General features: G+C 49.6%; 1 protein-coding gene across 4 annotated transcripts in view, besides 3 other annotated features; it reads right to left on the bottom strand.

Moving 5' to 3' along the window:
- The window catches only part of PKLR (pyruvate kinase L/R), a 19,362-nt gene extending 11,723 nt beyond the window's left edge, over nucleotides 1-7,639 (bottom strand). The window contains exons 1-2 of one of the 4 annotated variants that reach the window (XM_047422591.1): nucleotides 7,539-7,639; nucleotides 281-401 (exon numbers count right to left, since the gene is read on the bottom strand). In XM_047422591.1, the coding sequence (XP_047278547.1) occupies nucleotides 281-380 (100 nt within the window). In that variant the 5' untranslated portion in view covers nucleotides 381-401; nucleotides 7,539-7,639. Of the gene's footprint in view, nucleotides 1-280; nucleotides 424-7,397 lie in introns of those variants that run through there. The other 3 variants (XM_047422592.1, NM_000298.6, XM_017001493.1) reach the window with 3 other exon arrangements.
- Nucleotides 4,985-5,484: an enhancer, noted in NCBI's record as "H3K27ac hESC enhancer chr1:155275791-155276290 (GRCh37/hg19 assembly coordinates)". NCBI's record gives its function as "activates a minimal SCP1, AML or CMV promoter by ChIP-STARR-seq in primed H9 embryonic stem cells {active_cell/tissue: H9 hESC(primed)}" and the evidence as "EXISTENCE:reporter gene assay evidence [ECO:0000049][PMID:30033119]".
- Nucleotides 6,609-6,678: an enhancer, noted in NCBI's record as "active region_1812". NCBI's record gives its function as "activates an Ori minimal core promoter by ATAC-STARR-seq in GM12878 lymphoblastoid cells {active_cell/tissue: GM12878}" and the evidence as "EXISTENCE:reporter gene assay evidence [ECO:0000049][PMID:35858748]".
- Nucleotides 7,581-7,710: an enhancer, noted in NCBI's record as "active region_1813". NCBI's record gives its function as "activates an Ori minimal core promoter by ATAC-STARR-seq in GM12878 lymphoblastoid cells {active_cell/tissue: GM12878}" and the evidence as "EXISTENCE:reporter gene assay evidence [ECO:0000049][PMID:35858748]".

Here is a 7,827-nt window from a genome sequence, read left to right on the forward strand (position 1 = left end):
CTGTTCCATTGGAAGCCCTGTATGCCAGGGGCCAGAGTCCAGGAACCACGGGAGTGCCCCGTGGCTTACATGCTGTGGCTCTGGCCTGCCTATAGGGCCTGGAAAAGACCCAGGCCAGGGTCCATAATTTAACACACGGGAGGCTCTGAAGAACGTACGTTCCTCTCCAAAACCCACCTAGCCAGTGGCTGATGTGGATCATTTATGCCCTCCACCCTGGCTCCTAGTTTTCACCCTCATTTTCCTCCTATGTTCCATGGCTTCTGTCTCCCCTTCTTACCTCCTGGAGCCCCAATCAGGATGGACTTTGCTAAGTCTCTTTGGGACTTAGAGACCCATGACCGAAGCTGCAGGGATGATATGTTCTCCTGGATCGACATGCTTTCAGTGTGGGCCTGGGGCTGCGGGACCATGGAATGAGAGGGAGAGGATGACAAAACTGCTGGTCTTATCTAAGGGAGACAGAGAAGAGAAAAGGGGCACACCCAGTAGGCCACCCTGTCCCCACAGAATCCCTCCCCCAGAACGGCCTGCTCTCTGCCCTCATCTCCTGGCATTTCCTCTCATCCTTTTTTCCTGATAAATTTTCAATCCATTCATACTATCTGGTCATCCACGTGAATAGATATTTTTTTTTTGGCCAGTCATATGGCCCCATTTTCTTTGTACTTTACTGAAGTTAGCTCTAGTGAATCCAGGGAGCAGGGGCTGTAGGGTGGGGCTGGAGCCTGAAGAAAGACAAAAGGGATCACTGTGATAATATGGTGGGGGGAGGGTTACCCAGTTCTGACCACTTTTTTTCTCTGTCTCAACCAAGAAATGCAGAGTGCCTTCACCACTCTGTAACCTGGCCAGCTGCATGTTTTCGCCTACATGTTTGAACCCAAGATGGTACCTTGAACATTCTCAGACACTGATAAACTTGATTAGGTTGTTGCTGGAAACACTGAAAGATCGACTATTTTGCTAAACTTATAGACTCCTACCCCCAGGGAAATTTTCTTTCCTCCCTCCCTTCCTTCCTTTTTTCTTTTTCTTTTTTCTTTTTTTTCTTTTTTTTTTCACAGAGTCTCACTCTGTCGCCCAGGCTGGAGTGCAGTGGCGCAATCTCAGTTCATTGCAACCTCTGCGATCCTCCTGCCTCAGCCTACCGAGTAGCTGGGATTACAGACGTGCACCACCACACCCAGCTAATTTTGTTTTTCTTTTTTCTTTTCTTTTCTTTTTTTTTTTTTTTTTGAGACTGAGTCTGACTCTGTTGCCCAGGTTGGAGTGCAGTGGCGTGATCTTGGCTCACTGCAACTTCTGCCTCCTGGGTTCAAGCGATTATCCTGTCTCAGCCTCCTGAGTAGCTGGGATTACAGGCATGCACCACCACGCCTGGCTAATTTTTGTATTTTTAGTAGAGACGGGGTTTCACCATGTTGGTCAGGCTGGTCTCGAACTCCTGACCTCAGGTGATCTGCCCGCCACAGCTTCCCAAAGTGCTGGGATTACAGGTGTGAGCCACTGTGCCTGGCCTAATTTTTGTATTTTTAGTAAAGATGGGGTTTCACCATGTTGTCCAGGCTGGTCTCCAACTCCTGGCCTCAAGTATCCACCAGCCTCGGCCTCTCAAACTGGTGGGATTACAGGTGTGAGCCATCATGCCCAGCCTTGTTTTCTTTCTTTTTTTTTTAAAGGGTCTCACTCTGTCACCCTGGCTGGAGTGCACTCGTGTGATCATGGCTCACTGTAGCCTTGACTTCCTGGGCTCCAACGATCCTCCCACCTCAGCCTCCCAAGTAGCCAGTACTACAGGTGTGCACCACCATGCCTGGCTACTTTTTAAATTTTTATTTATTAAAAATATTTTTTTCCTTTCTTTCCACAGGTGCTGACTTTTTATTTTTGTAGAGACTGGTGTCACTCTGTTGCCCAGGTTGGTCTTGAACACCTATGCTCAAGTGGTCCTCCTGCCTTGGTCTCCCAAAATGCCAGGATTACAAGTGTGAGCCATAGTACTGGCTTCAAATTTCTTAAACACTCCTATAAACACCATACCCCGAACCCCTCCTTGAGAACATACCTGGGTAGAACACCCTTTGTCCCATTGTCCACAGCAAGGATGTGCAGTAGCTGTTCTGTAGGTAAGTTCCCCTAATGTATGCTTTGGCCTGATTGCCCTGGCATTTAGTGCTTCATTCACTGGAATCCCAACCAGCCCCATCTTGGGATGGTTTGGGGCATCCTTTGTGAGTGCTGCCCTGATGCCACTTTTGGTGTGACACTAGCTGTGGGTTCAGCTGATACTAACTGGTGGGATTCTCTGGAAGGGCTTTGATAGCATCATCATCATCATAGCATTCATTAGTTACCATTTGCCCATTCCCCACTGTCCAATCTTTATCGAGCACCTACGCTGTATCAGGCCCTAAGGACACAGTAGTGAGCAAAACAGACAGGGCCTTTGCCCTCTGTGAGATTTACAGTATAGTGGGGAGACAGACTATCAACAAGTATCAGAGAAATAAATATGTAACTACAAACCTTGCAAGTGCTACTAAGTAGTGGATCAGGGTGCTGGAACACAGAAGCCAGTGGGAGAAGAGAGAGGGTGTATTTTATTTTATTTATTTATTTTTTTGGAAGCGGAGTTTCACTCTTGTCACCTAGGCTGGAGTGCAGTGGCACGATCTCAGCTCACTGCCACCTCTGCCTCCTGGGTTCAAGCAATTCTCATGCCTCAGCTTCCTGAGTAGCTGGGATTACAGGTGCACGCCACCATGCCTGACCTAGAGGATATATTTTAGACAAGATGAGATGGTTGAGGAAGGCCTCTTTGAAGTGATTATTTTGAAGCTGAAATTTGAAGGATGAGAAGGAACCGGTGGGGGCAAATGGAGAAAGGGGTTTTCCATGGCGGCGGGGCGGGGGCAGAAATAATATATGCCAAGGCTCTGAGGAAGAAAAAGCTTGGTGCCAAGGAGACAAAGAGCTGCAATGAGGCTGAGTGCCTGGAGTGCAGGGTCGTGGCCCATAGTGAAGATAGGGGACCTGAGCAGGATCTTGTAATGTGGTGGGTTTACCCAGGGGATGGACATGATCCAACTGATGGTTTAGGTCCCTCCCGCTGCTGGGTAAAGAATAGATGGTAGCCGGGAGCGGTGGCTCACGTCTGTAATCCCAGCACTTTGGGAGGCCAAGGCAGGCGGATCACCTGAGGTCAGGAGTTTGAGACCAGCCTGGCTAACACGGTAAAACCTCGTCTCTACTAAAAACACAAAAAATTAGCCAGGTGTGGTGGTGCGTGCCTGTAATCCCAGCTACTTGGGAGGCTGAGGCAGGAGAATCACTTGAATCCGGGAGGCAGAGGTTGCAGTGAGCCGAGATCATGCCATTGCACACCAGCCTGGGCAACAAGAGCAAAACTGCGTCTCAAAAAAAAAAAAAAAAAAAAAAAAAGAACAGATGGTAGGTACAGGCAGAACTACTGCGGGCTTAGGAAGAATCTAGGTGGTAGGTGATGGACTAGCATGTTGGCAGTGAAGACGAAGAGAGGGGGACGGCTTGGAGATGCATTTTGGAGAAGAGCCAGCAGAGTGGAACGGCAAAACAGCCGTGGAGAGGGCGGCTTCTAGTGTCGAGGAGTCTGGCTTGAGCAGTTGGGTAGATGGTAGCGCCACTAACTGAGACTACGGAAGAAATAGGTTTGAAGTAGGGGGAAATTCAAGCTTTCTGTTTTGACAGGCTAAATTTGAGAAGCCAGTTAATCATTAAAATCCATAGTCAGACAGTTGGAGCTGTTCATCGAGCACACTTCCTGTGTGCTGGAACAGCATTCATGCCTCATGGACACCATCTCCTTTTATCATTGTGACAACCTAGAAAGAAGGTAGGATCAACAGGCTGTTTTACAGATGAGGGAACTGGGCCGTAGCAAGGTGTGTTCCTTTTCCACTCTGCTGTGGGGCCAGGAGGCTGACGGCTTTGCACAGTGGCGTCTGTAGGGTTTGGAGAGTGGCACCCATAGGAGATGAGATGGAGAGGGTGAGGTTGAGCATTTACCTCCCCAGTTGCCATTCTAGGGACCATTCTCTCCCTATCCCTTGGACCTTACAGGGGTAACAAAGCCCACTGTTATTAGATCTGGGGTAATGCACTATCCGTTGTGGTTTACCAACACCCTGCCCATTCCTTTGTATAATCCTGTTATGAAACACCTTCAAATTATCCCATTTAAGAGAATTCTTTATTTCCTGAAGAAACCCTACCGAATACACTTGTCTGATGCAAAAAGTCTTGTCAGGAGTGGAGCTGGGATTCAGGCCCAGATAGTGGAGCTCCAGAGCCCGAGCTGTAACCACTAAGCTCCATGCCTGCCCCTTGGGACTGTTTCAGTGGGTGGGAAAGGGAGAAGTCTCTGACTCTGGAGTTGGAAAAGAAAGAGAGAGATAGTAGAGAGGACTTCCGGAGGGAAATGAGCATGGGGCCTCATCTTTCTGTATATAGAAGACACAACAAATAAAGAGAGACAAAATTTGTACCCACAGAGAATGTGGCAGACTTCAGGGACTGGGGATTCAGGCCTTGTGCTTGTGGTGTTGGCAGAGACATGGGACTTTAAGGATGGTCTGGCATTACTTTGTTTTTGATACAGGGCCTTCCTCTGTAGCCCAGGCTGGAATGCAGTATCATGATCTCTGCTCACTGCAGTCTCAATCTCCTGGGCTCAGGTGATCCTCCCACCTCAACGTCCCAAGGAGTCGGGACTACAGGCACGCACCACAATGCCCAGCTAATTTTTTTTTTTTTTTTTTTGGTATTTTCTGTAGAGATGGAGTTTCACCACGTTGTCCAGGCTGGTGCAGAACTCCTGGGCTCAAGTGATCTACCCGCCTTCACTTCCCAAAGTACTGGAATTACAGGCATGAGCCACCACGCCCAGCTGTGGTCTGGCAATATTGAACTGACTCCAGAACCAGTTGGGAGGATAGGAATCCCAGATATCCCAGTCCCAAGGGATTAGCAGGAGGTGGGGGGCAGTTCTCCAAAGCAGCCCGTGTCCTGTCCAGCTAAGGGACAGACACTTTGACCTGAAATCAGGCCAGTTTCCTCAGCAGTCTGGCTGACCCTGGTCCACAAGTGACCACATGAAGCATGGTCTGCACTTTGTCACAGGATCATCCCTGAGCAAGAGGCCTGTGGGTGAGAAACAGAAGCCCAGCATCCAAACACAACACTCAGCTTTGTCAGTTGAGAGCCCTCCCTCCTGCCACAAACACACATGCTCCAACAGCCACACTCACACATGCACAGACACAAACGCAGGTGGCTTTTCATTCCACAGGCATGGACTGAACCCCCATATGGGCCGTGCCCCGACGCATGCCAGACTGGAGGAGGTGAGGCCACTGGGCCCAGGTCTCTGCTCAGTGTGGGGATGGAGACAGGAGCGAGGCCAGTCAGGTTTAATAAAGGAAGTCGGGGGGCACTGACAGAACTGTGCTCAGCACACAGAGGGACACCAGGAGAGACAGAGCATTGTGAGTGAGGGCAGAAGGAGGTCAGGGCAGCTTAACAGACGAGGTGCCCCCTGGTCAGACACATACACACACGTAAACATACACAAAGCTCCCCACCATTCCACACACACACACAAATACGTACTCCACTCTAACACTCACACAATATCCACACTCACACATGCAGATTTATGTATCCGGAATTGGTGGGTTCTTGGTCTCACTGACTTCAAGAATGAAGCCGCGGACCCTCGCAGTGAGTGTTACAGTTCTTAAAGGTGGTGTGTCCGGAGTTTGTTCCTTCTGATGTTCAGATGTGTTCGGAGTTTTTTCCTTCTGGTGGGTTCGTGGTCTTGCTGGCTCATGAGTGAAGCTGCAGACCTTCGCGGTGAGTGTTACAGCTGTTAAGGCCGCGCATCTGGAGTTGTTCATTCCTCCTGTTTCATTCCTCCCGGAGCGATCTCGGTTCACCACAACCTCTGCCTCCCGGGTTCAAGCGATTCTCCTGCCTCAGCTTCTCGAGTAGCTGGCACTACAGGTGTGCGCCACCATGCTGGGCTAATTTTGGATTTTTTAGTAGAGATGGGGTTTCACTATGTTGGCCAGGCTGGTCTTGAACTCCTGACCTCGTGATCCGCCCACCTTGGCCTCCCAAAGCTCTGGGATTACAGGCGTGAGCCACTGCACCCAGCCGTGTTTTGTCCAATTCTTTGTTCAAGATGCCAAGAACCTGGACACCCTCCACCGGTGACAGTACCTTATATACACGGAATCATACAGTATCTGTCCTTTTGAGTCTGGCTTATTTCACTTAGCATAATTGTCAGAGGTGCGTGAACCAGAGCAACTCCATCTTGAATAGGGACTGGGTAGAATAAGGCTGAGACCTACTGGACTGCATTTCCAGTTGGTTTAGGCATTCTAAGTCACAGGATGAGATAGGAGATTGGCTCAAGATACAGGTCATAAAGACCTTGCTGATAAAACAGATTGCAGTAAAGAAACTGGCCAAAACCTACCAAAACCAAGATGGCAACAAGAGTGACCTCTGGTGGTCTTCAACGCTATACTCCTACCACATGCTGTGTCGACATCAGGGAGTTAACTGTATATGGTCTACAAAGCAGAGGCATGAATAATCCAACCCTTGTTTAGCTTATAATCAATAAATAACTGCCTGGGCCAAGTGGCTCGTACTTGTAATCCCAGCACTTTCAGAGGTCGAGGTGGCTGGATCACTTGAGGTCAGGAGTTCGAGACCAGGCTGGCCAATCTGGAGAAACCCCCTCTCTACTAAAAACACAAAAATTAGCTGGGCATGCTGGCAGGCACCTGTAATCCAGGAGAATCACTTGAACCCGGGAAGCGAGGTTGCAGCCTCCCACGTAGCTGGAATTAAGGCGCGGACCAGCACACCTGGGTAATTTTTGTATTTTTAGTAGAGAAGGGGTTTTGCCATGTTGACCAGGCTGGTCTCAGATTCCTGACCGCAGGTGATCCGCCCAAAGTGCTGGAATTACAAGTGTGAGACTCATCTTTTTTTTTTTTTTTTTTTGAGACGGAGTCTTGCTCTGTCTCCCCAGCTAGAGTGCAGTGGTTCGCTGGATCTCAGCTCACTGCAACCTCTGCCTTACGAGTTCAAGCGATTCTCCCGCCTCAGCCCTCCTGAGTGGCTGGGATTACAGGCGCGCGCCACCACGCCCGACTAATTTTTTTTTTTTGTATTTTTAGTAGAGACGGGGTTTCACCACATTGGTCAGGCTGGTCTCGAACTCCTGACCTCATGATCCACCCGCCTCGGCCTCCCAAAGTGCTGGGATTACAGGCGTGAGCCACCGTGCCCGGCCCAAGACTCATCTTTCTTAAGCCCTTAAAGCACTTTGCACACATTACCTCATGGTATTACCACCCTCATTCAACAGATGAGGAAAGCTAGTTTCAAGCAAGTTCACTGAGGATCAGAGACGTTAAATGATTTGCCTAAAGTTAGAGAACTAATAAGTGAGAAAGCTAGTCCTGCTGCGTTTTACTAACGTGCCAATCAGCTGCCCAGGAAGATAATGAAAACTTGAGTAAGACAGGCAGCCAAAGCCACAGCGGGGACGTTCCCAGCCTGGCTCGCTTCCGGCACTGACGCCTCCAGCCGCGACCTCTAGACTTCAGCCCTTCCATTGGTCGTCCGTCACAGTGCCACAGTGCGCCATGCTCACACGACGGCCAGCAGCCAATCAGCGCGGCTCATCTTCGCCCAGCCAGGACACGCAGGATCGCGTTATCTGTCCCTCCCGCGGGCACATTGGGAGTTGTAGTCTAATTATATATT

The sequence above is a fragment of the Homo sapiens genome, chromosome 1, assembly GCF_000001405.40.
Source record: "Homo sapiens chromosome 1, GRCh38.p14 Primary Assembly".
Lineage (NCBI taxonomy): Eukaryota > Metazoa > Chordata > Mammalia > Primates > Hominidae > Homo > Homo sapiens.